This window comes from Homo sapiens, chromosome 14 (genome assembly GCF_000001405.40).
Source record: "Homo sapiens chromosome 14, GRCh38.p14 Primary Assembly".
In the NCBI taxonomy this organism is placed as follows: Eukaryota; Metazoa; Chordata; class Mammalia; order Primates; family Hominidae; genus Homo; species Homo sapiens.
In genome coordinates this window covers 66,808,338-66,834,728 of record NC_000014.9, presented here as the reverse complement: position 1 = coordinate 66,834,728, position 26,391 = coordinate 66,808,338, and the positions used below count along the sequence as shown (strand labels likewise).

Sequence of the window (26,391 nt, the reverse complement as noted above, 5' to 3'; positions counted from 1 at the left end):
ACAACCATAAAAGAGAATTTTAGACCAATACCCTTGATGAACATTGATGCAAAAATCCTCAATAAAATACTGGCAAACCGAATCCAGCAGCACATCAAAAAGCTTATCCACCATGATCAAGTGGGCTTCATCCCTGGGATGCAAGGCTGGTTCAATATACGCAAATCAATAAATGTAATCCAGCATATAAACAGAGCCAAAGACAAAAACCACATGATTATCTCAATACATGCAGAAAAGGCCTTTGAGAAAATTCAACAACTTTCATATTAAAAACTCTCAATAAATTAGGTATTGATGGGACATATTTCAAAACTTAACAGTCTTAAATGCAAAGTCAGTTATTGCTCTAATTATTTATCTAAATGGTCTAATTTTGTACCTGTAATTTTTATACTGGCACCATTTTACTATGGAGCTTTTCTTTTTTCATGCATAAAAAATAGAGGATGTATGTTTTGGGTAAGTCTGTGCCTGGTAGAAAAATTAAATGCAAAAATAATCCATAAGTAAGTGGACTTAAGGAGAAACATAACATTTCTTTTCAAATATCAGAAATGTCATGCAGAGGAGGAATTAACCTTCTTTTGAGCACAGCCAAGAGCAAAATTAGGACAAGTGGGTAGAAATTATAAGGTGACAGATTTCAGTTTGATATATTTAGACTTTCAAACAAGTAGAGTTGTCTAAACAATGAACTCTTCGATAGAAGAAGTGATGGTTGAAATGTTCAGGCTGGAATGATGAAAAGGGCATGCTAGGGCTTTGAACATGAAGGTCTTTGTTCTCTTCAAACTCTGAGATACTATGATTTCTCCACTATTATAAAGTTTGTAATTTTATACAAATGCTAAGCTAATTAAGATATAGCACTGACAAATCTATGATTACATATTCCGATTGTCTTGATTCTTGATTCTAAGGGAAATATTGACTGAAAAGGTTTCCAGACAACAAATCAACAAAATTGGAATTGTGTGCCTCTCAGCAGTTTAAATTTAATAAGTAAATAAATGGATAGTTACTAGGTTTGCAGATTACATCAGAACTTTTTTTTTTTTTTTAACCAGGGCATAAAAACAACCTCCAAAGAGAATAAAGTTAGTCCTACTGAGGAATGTATTCATGTGCATTCGAATAAATGCTGATTCAAAAAAGAGTCTAAGAAAGTCCTGAAAGCATGATTTTACTGTCTATACTGGCTGATAGGAGACTCATGAATTCTCGTTTCCAAGGAATCTCTGAATAACGGCAGTGATATGGTTTGGCTGTGTCCCACCCAAATCTGGTCTTGAATTGTAATTCCCATAATCTCTATGTGTAATGGGAGGGACTTGGTGGGAGGTACTAATAATTTAATCATGGGGCAGTTACCCTCATGCTTTTCTCATGGTTCTCATGATAGTGAGTTCTCCTGAGATCTGATGTTTTTATAAGGGGCTTTTCCCCCTGTTGCTCTGTACTTCTACTTGCTGCCGCCATGTGAAGAAGGATGTGTTTGCTTCAACTTCCACCATGATTGTAAGTTTCCTAAGGCCTACCACACCCTGCTGAACTGTGAGTCAATTAAGCCTCTTTCTTTTACAAATTACCCAGACTTGTGTACGTCTTTATTAGCGATGTGAGAACAGACTAATACAGTAAATCTCTCATTTCTGTATTTGGTACCTCTCTAGCCAGTCTGAAAGAAATAAAATAATGTAGGTCTAGTGTATCCATCCTTCTACGTAAAGTGAATTCTCTGTTTTAGCCAGAAAGATTTTATGTTTGTATTTCTCTGTGCCTTGCTCATATATTTTCCTTCTTCTTTACTCCTACCTTTAAGGTCTTCCTTTTTCAAAACCTAAATCCCATTCAATTTTAGCCTGAATTTTATAAAAATTTCACTCATTACTCAAGCTCTCTTTTAATCTTTCTCTTTGAATAAATCTTTTTGCCTGAATTGGCTAAATATTTCTGGTACCAGGTTTAAACTGTCTTGAATTGTCATATGACTATTTTAGGAGTATATGTACTTTAGCTTTAGGTTTGATAAAGTCCAAGGTGCTTCATAAATATTTGTTACATTGAACAAAGAAAATGAATGCTGTTCTTACCAAACAGAAAGGTCTTAAGTGTGCCTATGATACAAAAAAAAAAATTCTGCTTTCAGTGGACAATACAAAAATAATTATAAAACCCAGATATAAAGTGGGCTATTACTAAAAAGTTATTTTTTCACATATCTGGCTGTTTCAAGACAAGTCCTTATTTTTAAGACATATCCACCAATTATGTTTGTAGTTAACAATAGCTATCAGAAGCACAATGGTTAGTAGCAAAAGTATTTGGAGCTACCATATCTAATTAGAGATAACAGGTAGTACTGTTAATTAAATGAGGAAGAAAAAGAACAAATACTGAGCATCTACAAAGATTACAGGCATTATGTTAGATCCTTTTACATGCATTTATTGCCATTTACTACTTGAAAAGTCTTGGGCAAGTCAATGAATCAATCTGTGTCACAGTTTCTCCATCTTTAAGGCAGAGATAACAATAAATAGTACCTTCCTTATACATATCTTATTTATTTATTTTTTAAAACAGGGTCTCACTCTGTCACCCAGGTTGGAATGCAGTGGCCCCATCTTTGCTCACTGCAACTTCCGCCTCCTGGGTTCAAGTGATTCTCGTGATTCGGCCTCCTGAGTAGCTGGGACCACAGCCATGCAACAACATGCCTGGCTAATTTTTTTGTATTTTAGTAGACATGGGTTTCACCATGTTGGCCAGGCTGGTCTCAAAATCCTGACCTCAAGTGATCCACCCACCTCGGCCTCCCAAAGGGCTGGGATTACAGGCATGAGCCACCACACCTGGCCTCATATGGTTGTTTTGAAGAATAAATGAGTTAACATATGCTTAAAAGAGTTATTTGCACACAGTAATTGCTATATGTAAGTGTTAGTTGTTATTATTGACTATTTTTATTATTAGAATCAACAATTTTGAGATGTAGGTAGGCATCAGCTAATTTAGCAGATGAGAAAAATTAGCTAATTTAGCAGATGAGAAAACAGATTTGAACAGGTCAACTTGCCTTAAGTTTCATAGTTAGTAAGTAGTAGCACTAATATTTAAATTTAGGAATCTGACTCTATAGTGTAAGCTTTTTCCACTATACCATATTGCATGCCAACGTGTTTAGACAAAGATATGACATGGGAACTATTTCATAAAATTAGGATGAGCTCCTTAAAATGCCATCAAATATAACCATCAAATCTGACTGTAGAGGGATGGAACATTTTATTAAATTTAGTTTTAAATACTTCAGGTATAAGGGTTTCTAGTATTCTGCTTTGTAAGCAATTTAATATTGTTAAATTATCCTATTTGCATAGAACAATTTTAAGATAGTCAAAATCCTAGTTCAATATGACTAATTTTAGCCTTACCATGTATAACAGGTATTTTATTTTACTCAAAACAAAATCAAATTTTCTATCAAAAACAAATGATTAAATATGGTATTTTTTGCTATGCTTCTGTTAAAATGTAGGAGAGTGTTTTCTGATTGTGAAAATGGCCAATATTAACTTTTAGGTGAGTTATTAAATGTAAATTCTCACTCTCTTTCACAAGAGTAACAAACTGAAAATCATTAACATGTTGTTAGTAACTTAGGTCAATTTTTTCTTCTTCCCAGGGCTTATACAGTGTTCTTATTTTTGAAGCATTACAATATAAGAAAGAAAAATGACTAATGACTACATAAAATAATACCTGTCTTATAGTAAACACACACTTAAAATTATGAAATACATATATTTCAACAAATTGATTATAAAACAATTTTTGTAACTTTCTTTAATTTGTACTAGAAAACTGACATTTTCATGAAAAAAATCTAATAACCTAAGTGAAAAAAATTTGTAGAAAAGCTTAGATATTAATCTGCCCCAAAGCAACCTAAAAGTAGTCTATAAACAGAATATACCTTCTAAAATTCAGAGTCTTTTCCTAAGTCAGGTTTCTTTGGTACCATTTTGTAGTATTTTCCCTCTTGAAAGAGGTCATTTTGTCTGATGCCTCTTCACTTCCATAATGAAACAGTTATAAGAACTCTTTTAAATAAATATTCCTTATGTCAAATTTACAGTTTCCTGGTATTTTTGCTATTTCTTCTTTTGTTTGAGTATAATCATCAATTATATCAGCATACTTTTGTTATGAGGCATTCCTAAGAATGTCAGTTTCAAATTACTTTTTCTCAGTTTAAAATTATTTTTAACAGTGAGATTTTACTTAATGTACAACAAATTCATTGTATTAATTTTTAAAGTGCAGAATTCTATATATTATTTAGAATAAGGGATATTTTATTTTTATTAGGCTATATTGTCTATTGAAACAATGAGGCAATACACTTCAATATGGCAAAAAAGCATTTTTTCTTTGCTCCATCTAAAATTAAAAATATAAGGAAGGAAACCTAACATTATTCGGATTACTAAAGAACCAAAGGTAAAAGTGAGAAAATAAAAAAATGTGAGTAAAGATGACTTGTTGTCATCCAAAAGGCCATGGGTGGACAAACTTTTTTTGCAAAGCATCAGATGATAAATACGTCAGGCTTTATAGGCTATGCGGTCTTGTTTACAACTTCTGAACTCTGCTGTTTTAGCCATAGACAATACATAAATAAGTGTAGCTTTGTTCCAATAAAACTTCATTTATAGACCCTAAAATTCAAATTCCAAATAATTTTCACCTCACAAATATTACTCTCCTTTTGATTTTTTCAGCCATTTAAAAATGTAAAATATATTCTTAGCTCCCTGGACATGCAAAAAAAAGGTGACAGGCTGGATTTGGCTTGTGGGCTACATTGCTTACCCCTGTGAAAGTCTCACTCATTTTTTAACTTCAGTACCAAGCATGGCACTGAACACATATTGAGGATTAAAAACAAAAGCTTCACAAATGACCAAGTGGATGAGACATACAGGTATGCTAGGCTTTTACTCAACTATTTTACTTATGATCAAAATAATATATTAGCATACAACCCTTAATTCAATACAGCTTAGTGCTCTAAAAGTACTGAAAGTTATTTTGTGTCTTTTAAATATTTAACAGTTTAACATTTTCTAATTTACTATATTATCAAACACAGATCCTTTATGTAATAATACCTTTTTTGGACATACATTGCTTTGAAGTAATAATGGGACATAAAGGGAAAATACTTTGTATAGAAATGAGTTTCATAATCTGTGGAACTTTATAATTACTAATATTTCACTAGTGCCAATGAATTATCCAACCTTTATCGGACCAGAAAAAAATGAAATCTGGCCAGGCACAGTGGTTCATGCCTGTAATCTCAGCACTTTGGGAGGCCGAAGCAGGCAGATCACTTGAGGTCAGCAGTTTGAGACCATCCTGGCCAATGTGGCGAAACCCTGTCTCTACTAAAAATATAAAAATTAGCTGGGCTTGGTGGTGCACGCCTGTAATTCCAGCTACTCAGGAGGCTGAGGCACAGGAATTGCTTGAACGTGGAAGGTGGAGGTTGCAGTGAGCTGAGATCATGCCACTGCACTCCAGCCTAGGTTACAGAGTGAGACTCTGTCTCAAAAAAAAAAAAAAAAAAAAAAAGGCAAGCAATCTATTATTAAAAACCAGTTTTTATTATCAAGACAAAATTCTAAAAAGTTGATGAGTGAGAATTATCATGCTTTCATATGTAAGTTTTGATAGCATCTCATATTTAGAGGCAGGGAGAAGGCTAGAAGGCATGCAAGTATCAGATGAACCATATTCTATGATGCAGGGCCTAAAAATATAAACAAATTCATAATTTAGGAAAATCAATTCTGATAGCCCTATTCCTATAAAATATATAATAAAGAAGATAAACTTTACTATACTTGATATTCTATTCTCATTTTTAATAGACCTGGAGAGAAATCTGTTGATTAAATTTTTCATTTTATCTAGAGCTCATACCCATTGACAAAATCTTTGGATTGTTTTTTTTCATTCATCCTATTCATCATTTTCATCCTTCATTTTTTTTCTTACAACACACACATCCACAAACAATTTTGCTTTGTGCTTTACAGATTAAGCTAATTACTGACAATCATCGACTATAAAGCATTATTAGGATTTTAAGGGAGAAGTTTTACATTGTTTTACTTTTATCAAATTAGTATTTGTGCTTTCTACCAATAACTTCTGACCTCATTTAAAAATATTGGCAATCCTGATGTATATAATATAGGTAAATGTGTCTAGAAACAGCTTCTTCTCTTTAGATACAACTATCAAAACAGACAAATCAGTATATAATTCAGCGAGGATTATATTTCTAAATTCCTTTCTGACACATCAATATTATACGTTAGATATTATAAGAACTGCAACTACTCTACGATGTAAAGTAAAAGGGAAATTAGTAGAATTACTTTTTAGTGGGCCTATATTGATTTTATGTTTGCTTATTTATTATTTATTTTATTAGTATTATTTAATAGCCCACGACTGCTACAAACTTTTGCCATAGATATTCATATCATATGTATTTATATATACATATAAAATATGAAGTGAACCTATTAAAGATCAAGTTATTCACAATCAGGTAAATTGCTTCTTTTCAAAAACAGGTATTAGAGAAGACATATTTATGTATATTTTAAATCCATTTAAGAAACCTCTAATATAATTTTAACTATGTAGCTGCTATAGGTATATATGAATATAAGAGCACCTCAATAGTTTTCAAATAACTGAAAAACTTTAAGAATAAAATACTGCTCAATTTCTGAATAATGAAATATACAATGCCATGGAAACAGACACTTGTCAACTAGTAGTGCCAAAAAAGAAAAGAAACAAAACCTAGATACTAGAATAGCAGAAATTCAAGATTTCTGATTTATATAATATAGAGATGGAAGAGATCAAATATGAAGCTTACCCTACCAAAATTAAGAAATAATTTAACAAGATTCTAAAGACTTCATGGACATACTTCAAAACAAGTAAAAGGCTATAGTTGTCTATCTGGTATTACATGCAAAAAAGAAAAACTATCAAATGTGTCCATTTGGTAGTTACATAAGTTACATAGCAACAAATAAAAAAAATTAACTCTTATAAATTAACTCTTACATAAAATACCAGGAATAGTTCTCACTGAACGGTCACAGCCACCTTGGTAAATAGGTGCTTTTATTTCCCTCGCTTTATAGAAAACTAAGGCACAGAGTGGTTAAATGACTAGTCTATTAAGGTATAAGATAAAAATACATTTGGTCTTTCTTCTTGGTTCCTGACTTATTATAGAACTCATAAAACCCTTGGGAATTTCCTGAGTGATAGCAGTACAGAGTGCCTTTTGTTATTCCTAACAAACCTCTGCACCCCCCTCACCCCGCCTTTTTTTTTTTGAGACAGGGTCTCCCTCTGTCACCCAGGCTGGAGTGCAATGTTGTGATCTCTGCTCGCCGAAACCTCTACTCTCAGGTTCAAGTGATTCTCATGCCTCAGCTACCCAAGTAGCTGGGATTACAGGCGTGTGCCACCATGCCCAGCTAATTCTTTGTATTTTTAGTAAAGACATGGTCTCACTTTGTTGGCCAGGCTTGTCTTGAACTCCTTGCCTCAACTGATCCACCCGCCTGGGCCTCTCAAAGTGCTGGGATTACAGGTGTGAGCCACCATGCCAGGCCCAAACCTCTTCAGATCACACCTGAGTTTATGCTAATGAGACGACTTAGGGTGGGTGCCTAGATAGCCTCAGGATGGGGCTGGTCTGGTCATTGGAAAGACTAAGTTATTATGAGCATTGGAATTTTCAGTTCCACTCACTGAGGGGTGAGGTTGGAGACTGAGCTCCATAAAATATCTTGGAACAATGGGATTCAGAGAGCTTCCAGAGTGATGAACACATCAAGGTGCCGGAGGGGCGCTAAATACTGAGAGGGGATGGAACCTCCTTGCCCCTATACCTTGCCCTGTGCATCTCCTGCATTTGGCTATTCCTAAATTGTATCCTTTATAGTAAACTGGTAAGCATAAGTAAAGTGTTTCCAGGAGGTTTTGGACCTATTCTAGCAAATTAGTGAATCTGAAAATGCAGAGTGGGGTGGGGGACGCGGTTTGGGAACCAACTGACTTTGTAGTCAAGTAGGACAGAATTTTGACTAGCCTGGGGATCTGGTACTTGCCACTGGCATGTGACGTGAAGGCAATCTTGTGGACACAGCCCTTAAATCTGCAGAGTCTAGTACTAATTCCTGGTAGGTAGTGTCAGAATTTAATTGAAATAAAAAGAAGGACATTTGATATCTGGAGAGTTGAAGAACTGGCTGGTTCGAGTAAAAAAACCCACATTTAGCATCAGAAGTGTGAGTAAAAGCACTCCGTCTATGGTCACCTTGTTGATAAGTAGCAGAGCCAGAATTCAAAGGTTTGAATTTTCAGCCTAGCATTTTGTATTAACTGAAAGCCCAGTAGGATACAAAACATTTTGTGATGTAAATTATTTCCCCACGATCAATTATCCAAGGAATTAAAAATAATACTGTTATTTGGTTATGAATTAATTTTCTGGTGAAATTTTTTCTATTTTTCTGTTATGAAAAAATATGAAAATATCAAACCATCACACAAAAAATAGGCATACATAAACGCAAAGTGATTTACTAAAACACTTAAGACAGCACCCAAACTCCAAAAATCCATATCTTAACATAAGTAGTCAATGTTCTTACAAAGAAACAAAACACAAGCACACCTCTGCAGGAGATGGCTTCCTTCCCAATTGTACTTTTTCAGTCAGTCATAGCATAAAAGAAATGTAAAACTTTGCCAAAGAACCACTAACTATAGAAGCCAGAAGCTAAATAAATTGTGTAAGGATGACTTTATGCAGTTGAAGTTAACCTCTCAATACGACTCGATTTTGATTGCTTTAAAAGCCAAAACTATTTTATTTAAAACCCTAATTATAATAATATCAAAAGTTTATGTACCACGGTTTTTATATAGAGGAATAGAAAAAAAATAATTCTTAAAATTGCATTTTCATATAGTGAAAATATGGTCTATGGTCCAACAACAACGACAACATCTGCATCACCTGGGGCCTTGTTAGAAATACAGATTCTCAAGACCCATTGCAGCTTTACTAAATCAGAAACTCTAGGGGTGGGGGGTCAAGCAATTTGTGTTTTAATAAGTCCTCTGATTGATTCTGATGCAGGCTAACGTTTGAAAACCATTGTACTATTATAAGAAGGCCAGTAATTATTTAATAGATGCAGAGCAAAAGTACCTTGTGGAATGTTAATAAGGTAGTAGATACAATAGTGTACTGATTTGAAATAGAAAGACATAGTAAATATTAAGTTGAAACTGATCCAAGAAACACTTTTGGGGGGTTGGGTAGGTAAAGGAAACAATGTCACAAGTGGTGATGTAATTTTATGTATAGCTCTGAGGTGACATCTGTGGTTTATGGCTTCCTTAAAGAAAAAATACATCCCCCCCCATATTAGTTAATAGTGCTTATTCTTCATTCTTTCCCTAATTTTTCTTCCTATATATAAAATAGTTGAAGATGCTTCCTGTGGTCTTAAGCCTAGATATTAATTCTACTTTTGGGCTCATTAAATTCTGCATTTAAATGCTGTTCACATTTAGAATTGTGGAAAATATATCCCTTTTCAACAAAAGTACTGTAAAATCAGTATATTCTATTGCAGTCATCTTACTGTAATTTTAGACAAATGAAAAGGGTACCTCAAGAAAAGAATTGTATTGACAAAGCACATCAGACCAGATGCCATGCTAACCATCAGAATTCTGCTATCACTTCCTTTGGAAATGTGCCTGAAATTAGGCTGACATCAAGAAAATGACAGATTACCTCTGGACCAGTTTAATCTTCCTCATATTCTATCACTTCTAGTTTAAGCCCAAAGAAAAAAAGTCAGGAAACATTTTTCACAATTCATCCACAGCAAAATTTTCACATTATTAGAACTACAAGTCATTTGTTATGCCTAGCAAAGTTATAAAAATAATATAAATATAGTAAAAAGGATTAAAAAAACCATGATTAGTTTAATCCTTGAATATGAAAAGGCATGTACTATCTCACCTCTGGAGTGACATCTCGTGGTGCAAATCCTGTTCCTCCAGTTGTTAATATCAAATTAAGTTCCTTTTCATCACACCAATCTATCAGGGTTTCCTGAAAGAAAACAATAGTATAGTCATGTGCAGAAAAATTTGCCTGCTTGCTCAAAACATCCCAGTCCTAGGACACTTTGTATTCAACGAGGAAACACAGATTCTTTTCAACAGTCAGTAAGAAAATTTCTAAGCACAATTCATGGAACAGTTTCACTCTTGATCAAAAGGCACTGAAATTTTGAGTACTTATTTTATTAATTATAGAAAATGAGGATGCAAGTATCAAATTCTTGAAAGTAAATAAAACATAAGAAAACCGTAAATAAAGAGTTTATAATTAATGGCTTATCTGAAGTTCTTTTCAGCCATTCAAAATGCACTACTATGACAGTTATAGAGATTAGAATTACATGTCATAAAATTTTGGAGCTAGAAGGGTCTTTAGCAGATTTGCCTCTTTATTTTCTAAAGAGACAACTGAAGTACAATGTGCTTAAATAATTTACAAAATTACACACCTAGTTTATAACAAAGTGAAACTAGGATCTCCATCTGCTGACTTTTCTTATTCTTGCTAATTCTATCAACCCATTCTACATTTTAGCTATTTGCTAAAAAGGGCAATTAAGTGCTCATTAAATTATAATCATATACTTGCATTGGTATTACATTGTTTCATTACGTTTTTATAATTCAGAGTCAAAATTTAAAAATAGAATTTCATCATTTAATTGCCGATAACTGTTGTGAAATACAAATAGCAGGCTGATACCGAGATGTACAATACGGTCCCCACAATTCTCAAATTCATCAGTGACACAAAATGTAGGATGATTATTTAGAATAAATCCAAGACCTAAAAAATGATTTTTTCCCTTTTTTTTCAGTTTGTGTTTTATTCTGGTATCACAGAAATGCAGAGCTCAGAGCTCCAAATGAAGGGAACTTTTCTGTGCAATGATTAATTAATGGCAACAAACTATTTTTAAAAACATAAATTGTAGATAACTGAGAGCCCATCTAAAGAACTTTGATCCCAGATATAGTTATAATTTTGTTCTGAGGAAAGCCCCTCAAAAATCAATGATTATTATAATACAGGTGCTTATAAAGTGGTTTCATAAACCGAAGTTAAAACTTCAATTGTCTGTGCTTCATTTTAAAAAGCAGAAAAGCTTAAATACTCACTCTTATAAATAGCTCTCTATTCTTTCTGGTATATAAAAAAACCAGCTGGGTGAGTGGCTCATGCTTGTAATCCCAGCACTTTGGGAGGCCGAGGCGGGTGGATCACGTAAGGTCAGGAGCTTGAGAACAGCCTGGCCAACATGGCAAAACTCCATCTCTACTAAAAGTACAAAAATTGGCCAAGCATGGTGGAGCGCGCTTGTAGTCCCAGCTACTCAGGAGATTGAGGCAAGAGAATCACTTGAACCTGGGAGGCAGAGGTTGCAGTGAGCTGAGATCGCGCCACTGCACTCCAGCCTGGGTGACAGAATGAGACTCTGTCTCAAGAAAACAATAAACAAAAAACAAAACCACGGTTGATACCACAACTCAGCAATGTGTAGATTAACCATCTTTGTTTTCCGACTGATGTATCCTAGAACACCTTAGATCTCTTTGTAACATTCCTTTAAGTACTTCCATTACGGTAGTGAAATGCCTGTGCCACAGTTTTCTCACCTCTGATCACAATCCATTTATATCAAATCTTGATAAAAAGTGATATGAAATCCAAGTTGCATCAACAAAATATCTCAACACCAAAATGTTTATCTATATCAAATACCAACTTTCAGTATTAACATTAAGAGGGTATTCAAACTTTTCAAATTTTAAGATGCTAATAAACATAGTAAAAATGGTCCCTTTATACTGAAGAATGCTCCTGTTTTGCCTCAGATAATACTTCCTTATAACATAATTCATCTGTTGACTAAGTAAACATTTATGAAGTACCTACCATGTATTAAGTGTTAAAAGTTAAAAATAAGAGGAACACTGACTCAGATTTCAAAGAGCTAATAGTCAAGTAATGGTTCTCATCCTTGGGTGCACAATGGAATTATCTGCGGAGCTTTAAAAAATACTTGGGTCTCACCTCTTTGGTATAGCCTGGGCACTGACTGGGATTTTTAAAAGCTTCCCAGGTAATTCTAAAATGTAGCCAGCAACTGAAAACTACTAGTCTAAGGAGACGATCTGTTCAATTACTCAAGGGTAAATTTCACAGATAGTTGGGTAGGCCCAAAAAGATTTCATACAGTTTAAAATCAGTTGGCTGGACGCAGTGGCTCACGCCTGTAATCCCAGCACTTTGGGAGGCCGAGGTGGGTGGATCATGAGGTCAGGAGATCGAGGCCACCCAGGCCAAGATGGTGAAACGCCGTCTCTACTAAAAATACAAAAATTGGCCGGGCACGGTGGTGGGTGCCTCTAATCCCAGCTACTCGGGAGGCTGAGGCAGGAGAATCATTTGAACCAGGGAGGCAGAGGTTGCAGTGAGCCGAGAATGTGCCACTGCACTCTAGCCTGAGTAACAGAGCAAGACTCCGTCTCGAACAAACAAACAAACAAAAATCAGTTTTATTACAGTAATATTACTAAAGTTTTTCTATTTCCAGGATGGATAACTGGTAACACTTAATATATAGATTTCTTTCACTTGAATAACATTTGTTATCTTGAGAGCAATTAAGAATCTATTCAAGCATTTGGGAGGTAATATTTTGTTGGCCAAAGTAGCTAATGTGATATATGGCAGACTTCATGTGAGCAAAAATTTTAGTAAGGCTTTTAGATTTTAAGACAAAATAGAAATCCTATCATTCAGTCACTTGGTTTTCAAAACAAAAGAATTCTTCCTCACCCACCAGTATAGAATACCAGTTCTCCAGGCCCCTAGTTGTCATGCATCTGATTCATTAATTCATTTAACAAGAAAATATTTCAGGGCAAACTTTTATTCAGGTACTTCCTTAGAGAACAGCAATGCAAAGATAAATAAGGCAGTATCTCTGGTCTCAAGGATTCAGTCAAGTAGAGGAGCTCTTAGTCTATAGTTGTCTAGAATCTTGTTACTAAAAGTATGATCTGAGAACTGGCACCAGTGGTGTCACGGAATTAGAAATACACAATTTGAAGTTCCATCCAAGATCTACTGAATCAGAAGCTGCATTTTAAGAAAGATACCTCAAGGTGATATATGTATACATATTAAACTGAACTATGTGCCACATTAGATACTGAGTCTTTTTATTCTATCATGTTTAAAAAGCAGTTTATCTTAGCTATTTACTGTACCAACTTATTAAATTTATCTTATTTAACTTAGTAATTTATCTTAGCTTAGTTAGAAAGCAATTTATCTTGCCATATTTGTTTCTGCACCTGTTAGATCCACTTTATTCTGACAAAACTTTAATATTCAGCTGCCTCTACCAAATAAGAGGTCATTGAAGATTTTTTCATGAAAGCAACTTATGAAAAGTCCCTCTGCATCTGTTGCAAAAGTGAGGCTGAGGACATTGTTTATTTTAGTGATTAACTTTTCCTTATGTGGAGGATATTTCTTTAAAAAATTATTGCCTTGCATTTCTAGTATTCCATTCCATTCATCTTTAGTAGAATAAAGGTGTATCACAAAAATCCCCCTCCTAATATGTCATAAAATCAACATAAAAGAGTAAAAACTAGAGGAAAAACCTCCACAAGCAACAACCAAATAAGCAAACAACATAGCTTCGTAAGTCTCAAAAGCTGGATGGTTAAGGACAGAAACAAAAGATCTTTGAGACACACAGTTCTCCATTTTGAGGCTCCTAATGCTACTCTGGACTCCAAAGAGGTCATAATGGTGAATTCTCAAAATCTTAAAAATTCTCATGAATACCTCTAAATCTACAGAGATGCAAACTAAAAGAGACTCCATATCTTTTTCTTATTGTAAGCAGCTTCTATAAGAAACATGCAATGGAGGGCTCATGGCATTCAAGATGAAGATTCTAGAAACGAAGGCACACTGAAATGGAAAACTAATCTTAAACTTGATGACAGTCCTCACATAATGATGAGCTAAACCCTTATCTAGGAAGAAAGATTCTAGCACTGGACATTAATAAAATTTCAGAAGAGCAGAGTATTCCAACAAAGACTATATGTTGTCTCTGGTTTCTTGCTTCCCCTATTTTTTTTCTGTGCAAGTTCCAGATCTGATACAGTCTGGGCTGACTTTTTGTTTTTCTTCCTACATCTCTGCAACAAGTTTGAAATAAGCACTAGTTTGAGGACTGGATATTGTTTTATCAGTTTTTTTCTGAAAATCATATAATAAACAGAAATTGGAAGGTAAGGAGAGGGTAGGTGGGAAGAAATGTAATAGTGCAAATATCCTTATCTTTCATAGCAAGGATTCAACCAATCCTGTCTAAGGTTTAACATATAGTTAACATATGACTGTAACCTATTAATGACTTTCCTATTTTTTAAAATTTAGAGGGATTTCAGCATATAATATCTCTTCTAATAAAAAACAGTTATTTCAAAGTCAATAGGCTCTTTTACTCAGTTCCCTTTTCTTCTGCTTAAGTGTAAATAAATGCTACTATATATTAGCTTCAGAAAATTATCCTAATTGTTTAAATAGCTATGTCTTTCACTCATTTAAACATCCATACATTCTTCTAGCTACATAATAAGCAGTGAAAGATGTTGGAATGTTTTATAAACAATGTTAAATATTTATTACTCTTGGGTAGTTAGCTTTGAAGTACATTTTATTTTTTTACTGCCTTTTTACATTTTTGCCTTGTTTGAATTCTTTGTAATTTGTATGTATCATTAAAAAAATAAAGGGATTTCAATAGCCAACGTGGTCCTAAGCAAAAAAACAAAAACAAAAGCAAAAAACAAAAACAAAAAAACAAAGCTGGAGGCATCCCACTACCTGACTTCAAACTATACTATAGGGCTACAGTAACCAAAACAGCATGATATTGGCACAAAAAGACACATGGACCAATGGAACAGAATAGAGAACCCTAAAATAAGACCGCACACCTACAACTGTCTGATCTTTGACAAAGCTGACAAAAACAAGCAATGGGGACAGAACAGAGAACCCAGAAATAAGACCACACACTTACAACTCTCTGATCTTTGAAAAACATGACAAAAACAAGCAACAACCTATTCAATAAAAGGTGCTGGGAGAACTGGCTAGCCATATGCAGAAAATTGAAACTGGACCCCTTCCTTACACCATATACAAAAATTAACTAAAGATGGATTAAAGACTTAAATATAAAACCCAAAACTATAAACACCCTGGAAGACAACCTAGGCAATACCATTTAGGACATAGGCATGGGCAAAGAATTCATGACAAAGAAACTAAAAGCAATTGCAACAAAAGCAAAAATTGACAACTGGGATTTAATTAAACTAAAGAGCTTCTTTATAGCAACAGAAACTATCAAAAAAGTAAACAGACAACCTACAGAATGGGAGACAATTCTTTTGCAAACTATGCATCTGACAAAGGTCTAATATCCAGCATTTGCAAGGAACTTAAATAAATTTACAGGGAAAAAACCCATTAAAAAGTGGGGAAAGGACATGAACAGACACTTCTCAGAAGAAGACATACATGTGTCCTATAAGCATATGAACAAAAGCTCAACATCACTGATTAGCAAAATGCAAATCAAAACAACGAGATATCATCTCATGCAAGTCAGAATATTACTAAAAAGTCAAATAATAACAGATACTGGCAAGGTTGTGGAGAAAAAGGGACACTTTTACACTGTTGGTGGGAGGGTAAATTAGTTCAACCATTGTGGAAGACAGTGTCGCGATTCCTCAAAGACCTACAGACAGAAATACCATTCGACCCAGAAATCCCATTACTGAGTATATACCCAATTGATTATAAATCATTATATTATAAAGACACATGCACATGTATGTTCATTGTAGCACTATTCACAATAGCAAAGACATGGGAACAACCCAAATGCCCATCAATGACAGACTGAATAAAGAAAATGTGGTACCTATGCTCCATGCAATACTATGCAGCCACAAAAAACAATGAGATCATGTTCTTTGCAGGGACACGGATGGAGCTGGATCCCATTATCCTCAGCAAACTAATGCAGGAACAGAAAGCCAAATACCACTTGTTGTGACTAAGAAGTGGAAGCTAAATGATGAGAACACATGGGGGAACAACACACAGTGGGGCATGTTGAAGGGTGGAGGGTGAGAGGAGGGAGAGAAGCAGGAAATATAACTAATGGGTACTAGGCTTAATACCTGGTGATGAAATAATCTGTACAACCAACCCTCATGACATATGTTTACCTATGTAAAAAACCTACACATTCTACACATGTACCCCTAAACTTCAATTTAAAGTTAAAAAAAAGAGGGATTATAAACATTTATTCATTCTTCATTCTGATACTTAGTACTCATGGTCAGTAAGTTTAGAAATAAATTTTATACTTAATAATTACACATATACTACTGTGGTAAATTAAATATGGTCATACAGTCATTGTAAATCCTCCTGTCAGGAGGTGGGGTCTATTTCTACAACCCTTGCAACTGGGCTGGATTTCTGACTTGATTTGATCAATGGAATGGGGCAATAAGTCATGGTATGGCTGTTCTGAAGCCTAGGTTTCAAAAGGTTTCCATTCTTCTGTCTTCACTCTTTGGTAAACTTCTACTACCATGTCAGGAAGGCTGGGCTAGACAAGGGAATGATGGGTGACCATTTGGAGAGAAAGGTCTAGTGGAATATCCAGCACCAAGGTCCTACACATCTGAGTGAGGCTTAGATTCTCCAGACCCAACTGAGGTGACATTATTTCAGCTACATGAGTGACCTTAGACTCATGTGGCTGAAATAATGACATGAGAAAATATTCCCACTCAGAAAGCCCAGACTTGTGAAAAATAACAAATCACTATATGTGTTAAAGCCACCACATTTTGTGGTGGTTTTTAATGTAACAATACAATACAAAAACAACTAGTTTCACAGTTAACATTTTGGCATCCTCTTCTTTTTCTGACTATTTCCAATTTATATTTCATTAGTGATAAGTTTATCTTTTATAAAAAGCTTCAAAATAGTTCTAAAGGTAAGCTTGATGTATTATATTTAAATAAATTGGCACAAAGTCTTAAGAATATGATTATATAAGTTAATTTTCAGTTTAAGAAACATGCAAATACCTAGTATGTGCAATGACTATGCCCAGCATGTGTCATATATATATGTATACACATACACAAACACACATATATATTATTTTAAAAACCATGACAAATGTGCTTGATGTTACAGACATCAGAGATATGAACAAATTAATAATAGATCAGTATATTAACATAATAGATCAGTATATTATGGTGTTATTAGAGATCGTATACCCTTTTTAAGAAAACTTTCGGAAATACTACATGTATTTATAAATATATAATGTTTTCTTTACATTTACATTATTTAACAATAAAAAACATGATTACAGAAATTTTTAGCAAAATTATTGCCAAAGAGTAAACAACTCATCAAACAGAAAAACAGGGACAGTAATAGAGCTAAGAGAGAGTAAGTTTACATAAGTCATCATTCTCTGTATCTATCTGGAGCCTTATACTCATCCATTACAAAAGACATTTTTTCTGTCTCAATCTCTTTGAGTTCAGCTTTGATTTTGGTTATTACTTGTCTTCCACTAGCTTTGGGATTTGTTTGCTCTTGGTTCTCTAGTTCTTTTTAGTTGTGATGTTAGACTGTTAACTGGAGATCTTTCTAACTTTTTTGATGGCATTTAGTGCTATAAATTTCCTTCTTAACACTGCCTTATCTGTGTCCCAGAGATTCTGGTATGTTGTATCTTTGTCCACATTAGTTTCAAAGAACTTATTGATTTTTGCCTTAATTTCATTATTTACCAAACAGTCATTCAGGAGCAGGTTATTCAGTTTCCATGTAATTGTAGAGTTGTGAGTAAATTTCTCAGTCTTAATTTCTAATTTGATTGCACTGTGGTCCTAGAGATTGTTTGTTATGATTTCAGTTCTTTTGTATTTCCTCAAGAGCGTTTTACTTCTGATGATGTGATCAATTTTAGGATATATGCCATGTGACAATAAGAAGAATGTAAATTCTGTTGTTTTTACGTGGAGAGTTCTGTAGATATCTATCAGGTCCATTTGACTCAGGGCTGAGTTCAGGACCTGAATATTTGTTAATTTTCTTTCTCAGTGATCTAATATTGTCAGTGGGGTGTTAAAGACTACCACTATTATTGTGTGGGAGTCTAAGTGTCTTTGAAGGTCCCTAAGAACCTACTTTATGAGTGTGGGTGCTCCTGTGTTGGTGCATATATATTTAGGATATTTAGATCTTCTTGTTGATTTGAACCTTTTACCATTACCTAATGCCCCTCTTTTTCTTTTTTAACCTTTGTTGGTTTAAAGTCTGTTTTGTCGGAAAGTAGAACTGCAACCCTTGGCATTTTCTGTTTTCCATTTGCTTGGTAGATTTGTTTCCATCCCTTTTTTTTGAACCAGTGTATGCCATTGTATATGTGAGATGGGTCTCTTGAAGACAGCATATCAATGGGTCTCGGTTCTTTATCCAGCTTGCCACTCTGTGTTTTTAATTGGGGCATTTAGCCCATTTACATTTAAGGTTAGTATTGATATGTGTGGATTTGATCCTGTCATCATGATGTTAGCTGGTTACTTTGCAGACATATGTGGTTGCTTTCTAGTGTCACTGATCTGTGGACTTCAATGTGTTTTTGTAGTGGCTGGTAATGGTCTTTCCTTTCCACACTTAGTGCTTCCTTCAGGAGCTCTTGTAAGGTAGGTCTGGTAGTAATAAATTTCCTTAGCATTTGCTCGTCTGAAAAGGATCTTGTTTCTCCTTTGCTTATGAAGTTTAGTTTGGATGGATATGAAATTCTGGATTGGAATTCTTTTTAAGAATACTGAATATTGGGCCCCAGTCCTTTCTAGCTTGTAGGGTTTCAACTGAGATGTCTGCTGTTAGTTGGATGGGCTTCCCTTTGTAGGTGACCTGACCTTTCACTCTAGCTGCCTTTAACATGTTTTCTTTCATTTTTACTTGGGAGAATCTGATGATTACGTTTTGGGGATGATCTTCATGTGAAGTATCTTATTAGAGTTCTCTGCATTTCCTGAATTTGAATGTTGGCCTCTCTAGCTAGGTTGGGGAAGTTCTCATGGATGATACCTGAAACATGTTTTCCAAGTTGGTTCCATTATCCCCATCTCTTTCAGAGACACCAATCAGTCGCAGATTCAATCTCTTTACATAATCCCATATTTCTTGGAAGTTTTGTTCATTCCCTTCCATACTTTTTTTCCCTTTCTATTCTTGTCTGCCTGTCTTATTTCAGAAAGCCAGCCTTTAAGCTCTGAGATTCTTTCCTCAGCTTGTTCTATTCTGCTATTAATAATTGTGATTGCATTATGAACTTCCTGCAGTGTGTTTTTCAGCTCTATCATGTTGGTTATGTTCTTTTCAGTACTGGCTATTTTGTCTGTCAACTCCTGCCATGTTTTATCATGATTTTTACTTTCTTTGCACTGAGTTTCAACATACTCCTGTAGCTCAATGATCTTCATTTCTACCCATATTCTGAATTCTATTTCTGTCATTTCAGCCATCTGAGCCATGTTCTGGACCCTTGCTGGAGAGATGGTGTGGTCATCTGGAAGAAAGAAGGTACTCTAGCTTTTTGAGTTTTCAGCATTCTTGCACTGATTCTTTCTCATCTTTGTGGGCTTATCTATCTTCAATCTTTGAGGTTGCTGACCTTTGGATTTTTTTTCTTTTATCCTATTTGATAACCTTGAGGGTTTGATTATGGTATAAGATGCATTCAGCTGACTGGAAGAATCCAATCTTGTTTTTGGAACATTTTAGGAGGCCAATGCTCAGCTCCCAACTCCTGGACTGTGTGCTCTAACTCTGGGGGACTTGCATTGGGCCCCAGTTTGACCTCTTTGAGGTTCAGTCCATTGTGCTGGGGTTCTGAGGTGCAGCATCTGCAGAAGAGTGCTAACAGATGCAGGGGTGCCTGCCTCCCTGCAGGTGTTCACCATAGTGGTGGAGGCAACACAGCTGGTGGGGGATGGGGGGCCCTTGCTAGAGACTGTGCTGTTGCACTGGAGGTGGTGTTGGCTTGGGGGCAGGGTGCTGACCATCATAGATCTGGGTGCCTTCTCTGTGCCCCTCAAATAAGAGTGATTGTTCAGGGTGTGGGATGATCTGCTGTTCTCTGTGCAATGTTAGTGCAAGGGTGGGGTGCTGGCAGGAGTGAGACTTGCCAGCTCTGTGCTTACCAAGGGTGTCTGCAATGGTGGTCAGCAAGGGAGGAGGGCAGACTGCGTTCCTGTGTGCTGGCTGGGCAAGTAAAGCAAAAGCCACCTGTGTAGACATGCATCAGCAAAGTGATGTGGGGAGTGCCATGGGTCTAGGAAAGCTGCACAGGCTGGGGAGGGAGCGTGCAGGCTGGTGCGTGGCCATAGGGATGCCTCATCGAAACTCTCTACTGGTCAGGCATGGTCCATCAGTGTTGAAGCTACGGCGTGGGTACCCAGGGACCTCAAGACTGCCCTGCCAGCAGGCATGACCAGGCTAGGGCCCCAGGACAGGCCAGCAGACCAAGGAGGGCTCAGGTCAGACCAGCCCTGTCTGTTGCGCAAGACTTCCCTGGACAGATCAGGTCCAACAGTTCTCCTAGGACTAAAGTCTCTTATGGGAGCAAGTGAAGTCTAGGGGGATGGCTGTCCCTGGCCATGCTCCACTACAGTTACTTCTGCACCAAACCCTCTGGGCTCCACATCAGCTGGCTTGCTGCCCTTAAGACTTCCCTAAGTAACTCTCCCTGCCACCTCACGTGTCTGTGGTGGTTGAGGGGTCCCCTCCTGCTGGGGTTCCAGAGGCCCATGGTGAGAGCGGGTTGCTCCTTGCCAGTTCAACTCACCCATGCTCCTGGAGCTGTTGTGGTTCAAAAATGAGTCCTGGTGCACAAAAGTCCATGCAGCGTTCCCAGCTTTCTCTTCCTTTAGCCCAGCTTCTATGTCTTCTCCTGGTCCACTCTTGATGCCTTCCCTGTAAAGATCTGTTAAAAGCATGCCTGTTGTCTCAGTACTTCCATGGGAGCTGTTCCACTTGTCTGTGTCTAGTTGGCCATCTTGCCCTTGCCCCTGCAAACCATTCTTTTAGTGTTTTTGTTGTCATTTGTTTGAATTCAACTATAAAATAATTATAAAAGTTATTAATTTGAGTTTATAGTAGGCACTATTAGCAAAACATACACAAAAAATTAAACGTGGTATAAATATTTGATTAGAAATGGTACTTTTCCCTAATATTATAACTTTGACTTCAGTAAAAAAAATTATATAAAGGAATCAGACTGTCAGTGAGGGTAGTTTATAGAACTCTTAAACTAGCTATTCTGCTATCTACTATTAAATTGATACTGTATAACCCATAAAAAATGCTAAGCTAAAATAATTATCTTCAGTGCAGTTTCTCTCTTGTAGTCAAAGATAATTTTCCAGAGTAAAATCTTGAATATTTCTAATTTTCCTTTCATTCTACATATAATTTCAACATGCATGGATACATTAATATGTTCCAACAGCAAACAATGTAAAAACTTCCCAAACACAAATAAGTAGGAATAAATTTTGTTGGTTTGAAAGCCAATTCAACCTGCTTTATAGAGCTGGATTAGTAGTTTTATTTAATGATGCTATATATTTACTAAATGATTTCACTGGCTCAGGTGGGGTCTTAAATTTAAAGAAGATACCCTGAAAACACTTTTCAGCTACTTTCTTTTTCACTTCTTAAATTTCTATTTGGTTCAATAGTTTCTATTTTTTTCTGCTAAGATTTCCTATCTCTTCACTCATTACAAGCATATGTTCCTTTACTGCTTGATTATGATTATAGAAGCTGCTTTAGAATTTTTGTCTGTTAATTACAATAGGTGGGTCATCTTGGGGTTAGTCTCAATTGATTATCTTTTCTCGCAAGAATGGGTCATGTTCACTTGTTTCTTTGTGAAATAATTTCAGACTATATGCTGGACACTGAGTGATATGTTGAATAGACACTGGATTTTGTTATAATATTGATTTTTTTAAATTTTAGTAAGCAGTGACTTCGGCAGACCTAACTGCAAACTCTGCTATGCAGAGGATGGCAATTCAAATTTCAGTTCAATCCCTTTAGCCCTAGTTGTGCTGTTTGTAGTCTACCCAGCTCATTCATGGCTCAGAGGTCAGCCAGAAATACAGGGAGTTTATTTATAGAATTTCAGGCTCCCCTCTTTGGCTCTCTCCTTTCTAGGATTTCCCTTTTTACTTTAATGTAGCTATAGTTTTCCCAAACCATTCTTGTAGCCAAGAAGCCAGCAGGTTTTAGCTGCCAGTTAGGCCAGATTGGGGCCTACTCTCAGGCTAAAAGTTTTAAGAATGGGATAATCAACCAGTGCCTTCTTCCAAATGGTAGAATCTGTCTACTTTATAGAGCACTCTCCAGTGCTTTCAGATAGTTATTGTTTCTTTGTTTGGTTTAGAGTTTATAATAGTTACTTGTGATACAGATAGGAGCTCTGATAGGAGCTATTCAATTATACTGGAATGAAGCTTATTCTCAAAGTAGCTTAAACACCTATTATTTTATTTGTCAATAAAATGTAGTACCAAATCCATGAGTTTGGCATTCAAGCCATTTTACTCACTGCTCTAGAATATGCAATATGCAAAAAATGGATGACTATATGTAAGAGATTTAATTAAATGTATCATCTGTTATACAATTGTAAACTAGGTTCTAGAAATGACAGTTGGTGAAAAATACATTTTCTATATTTTAACCTGTTCTTATATTTTGTTTCTTTTTTTTTTTTTTGCTGAATGTAAGAGTAGTCTTAAGTGATTTTTATGATTCTTAAAATACATGCTTACTAAAAAGACCAAAAATAATTCAATCAACAAAAAAGTATAAGGAAATTTAAAAATCACAAACATTTTATTAGACAACCAATTTTAAACCTTTGTTGACCATACTTCCATAAATATTTTCATACATAAAAAAATACACACACATGAATTTTTTTCTGTCCTTTCAAGAATGACAAATCCTTTCTTTTTTTACGTTTTATTTTTAGATTCAGGAGTGCACGTTCAGGTTTGTTACATGGGTATATTGCATGATGCTGAGGTTTGGGCTTCTAATGATCTCATTGCCCAAGTAATGAACATAGTACCCAACAGGTAGTTTTTCAATCCTTGTCCCTACTCTGCTCCTCCCTGCTTCTGAAATCCCCAGGGTTTATTGTTTCCACACATGGATGTTTTAATTTGCATTTTCAATTTGACAATATGTCATAAATAATCAATCTGTATTAATAAATGTAGTTCACTATAATGATTTTAAGTCTGCACAATATTCTGCATACTTTAAAAACTACTTTTAGTTTTTCACATTGACAAACTGTTTACCTTTATAAATTTTCTGACTGTAAGGCAGGGAAGTAGAAGCAGAGGTAACAGAAAAGGAATAGGTTTGGGAGTAAGACAGACTTGGGTACCCATTCCAGTTTTAGTCTACTTACTAGCTTTGTGCTCATAGGCAAGTTATTGAAACATGGACCACCATTAGAAGAATGAAAGGAAATGAGAACAGAAAGCATCTGATATAAATTTGGGTACATAACAAGAACTAAAAAATTAAGTGCCTCTTTGTATGTACACATACACACACACAAAGATTATAAAACTATTATGAAAGCAAAGGTACTCGGCCAAATCATATTACTACTGACTTCTGTATATACCAAAATTTGATGTGAGAATACATCTTCATATTAATATTATATATTAGTAAGAAAAAGAAGAATTTCTGTGATAGTTTTATTACCTTGTCTCAAACATCAATGACATATTTTTGACAAAGTTTCACACATAATGTCAATTTTCCTTTGAACATTTTTTTCCATGATGAATATAGCTAGACAAATAATTAGACATGGATAATATATATTATGTAATTAATTAAATTCTATTAATACTTTAAAAATCTTTAACAAAAAAAATCTGGAAACAGTTTTATTATTTAGTTTACTAATATTTAGCCCTATGGAGAATACAGAGGTCTGGTTTTCAAGTAATTTTTAATAATAGTCACTATGATTTAGTTTTCCAGTAGTAAAGAAATACTGGTACTATAGGTGTTACTATAGACTTCATATGTCTATATAAATTACATGTATTTATATGTAAAGAATAGTGGAGGAAATTCATTTTAGTAAGGTTAAAGAAGTATAATAATTTGATGGAACTTTAGCCAAGACTTCTGTGTAAATATATTATATAATAATTAGTAAGAGGAACAATATAACACTGATCTATAGGCAGCAAAAAATAGCAAAAAGACAGGTAGATTTAATCTATCTTTTCAAAGAGAGCCAAGAACTCTTAGCTTTACCAGATCAGAATGTTCTGATTTGAGAGGAAAATTACCTACTCCACATTATACAATGGTAATACTAAGTTCTGCTTTAAAAAAAATAAGGGACTAGGTGATCAAATACAGTAGAGAGAAAACCTGGCTATTTGATAGTTTATACTCGAAAGTGTTGCATTTCTTCCACGAATCCTCTGGGATGCTCTTATTCTGAGAATAACACAGTAAAGCATACTCTCAGTTAAGTGAATAGTACCAGAAGAGAAAACAAAAGGGATGAAAATCATTAACACTGAACAAATAAGAAATAAGGACTACACTATTTAATTGGAGGAGCAAATAGATTTCCAGTTGTATGGTGTTACTTGTATGCCATAGAGACTCCTAATAGTCGTTATTCCCCCAAAATATGCTGCTTCTTTTGAATTCCTTAACTCAGGGACTGGGACTCTTAAGAAGCTGTCTAAGTGAAAACCCTGAATTAATCTTTTTTGTATTTCTTGTTTCTGAAGTCTATTTGAATCATATCACACAGTTTTCCTTTACTATGTAAGTACTTTGCTAAGTACTTTACAAACATTTAATATTCGTAATGACAATAGTAGGTTTTATTATTATTATTATTATTATTTAGGAAAACTCTGAATGGTTAAGATACACATAAGGTCACAATCCTATTAAGGAGCAGAGCCTGTTTTATTAACCACTGTGATATACCCCCAGTACTTTCCATTCCTGTTGCCACAGGCATAAGCCTTATTTTTATCATCATTCACCTAGATTGCTATAAAGCACACTAAGTGGTCTGTCTCTGTCTCTTATCAATCCATTTTGATAAGAACAGTATATCCCCTGAAACAAATCTGAAAATGTCTTTCCTTTGCTTCAAAATCTTTAGAAACTATGCCCCCGACCAAAACATACAGCTCCTTTAAAATGTGACTCCAACCTAACTTACCTTCTTATTTCCTGCAAATAGAATTAATAATCCCTTGACTTTAGCCACACTTGAACTTCTGAAAACCACAATGCTTATTTACATTTAGTACATTTGTTCATATTTCTTTTGCTTTAGAAGTCCTTCCCATCATGTTCTCCATGAAGAATTCCTTGACACTCTGGTTGGAATTGGTCACTGTTTCCTCTGTGTTCCAAAATATTTTATACATATCTAAAATATATACATATTTTTTGAGATGAAGTCTCACTATGTTGCCCAGACTGGAGTGCAGTGGTGCGATCTTGGCTCACTGCAACCTCTGCCTCCCAGTTTCAAGCAATTTTCCTGCCTCAGCCTCCTGAGAAGCTGCAATTACAGGCACAGGCCACCACGCACGGCTAATTTTTGTATTTTTATTAGAGATGGGGTTTCACCATGTTGGTCAGGCTGGTCTAAAACTCCTGACCTCGTAATCCTCGCCTCGGCCTCCCAAAGTGTTGGGATTACAGGCGTGAGCCACCGCGCCTGGTCTAAAATATTTTATACATAAATTTGATACAGAATTTATGTTTTACAATGATTATCTCTTGTAGCTGACACTGAACTCCTTCAAGATCATTCACTTAACAAATATTTACTATAACTGAAAGATTGACAAGCCAATACATTAAAATTAGGAATTTCTGTTCAGCAAAGATACTTTTAAGAGAGT

General features: G+C 35.2%; 1 protein-coding gene across 20 annotated transcripts in view, besides 2 other annotated features; it reads right to left on the bottom strand.

Moving 5' to 3' along the window:
- GPHN (gephyrin) overlaps positions 1-26,391 on the bottom strand; it is a 1,227,209-nt gene that overhangs the window by 900,627 nt on the left and 300,191 nt on the right. For all 20 annotated transcript variants that reach the window (XM_047430879.1, XM_011536340.4, XM_017020913.3 and 17 more), the window contains exon 4: positions 10,163-10,255. In XM_047430879.1, coding sequence (XP_047286835.1) covers positions 10,163-10,255 — 93 coding nt within the window. The remainder of the gene's footprint in view (positions 1-10,162; positions 10,256-26,391) is intronic.
- Positions 12,946-13,115: an enhancer, noted in NCBI's record as "experimental_35883 CRE fragment used in MPRA reporter constructs". NCBI's record gives its function as "activates a minimal promoter by MPRAs in K562 erythroleukemia cells, with activity observed for both the introgressed and non-introgressed 14:67288417 variant alleles {active_cell/tissue: K562}" and the evidence as "EXISTENCE:reporter gene assay evidence [ECO:0000049][PMID:34662402]".
- Positions 24,904-25,073: an enhancer, noted in NCBI's record as "experimental_35856 CRE fragment used in MPRA reporter constructs". NCBI's record gives its function as "activates a minimal promoter by MPRAs in K562 erythroleukemia cells, with activity observed for both the introgressed and non-introgressed 14:67276459 variant alleles {active_cell/tissue: K562}" and the evidence as "EXISTENCE:reporter gene assay evidence [ECO:0000049][PMID:34662402]".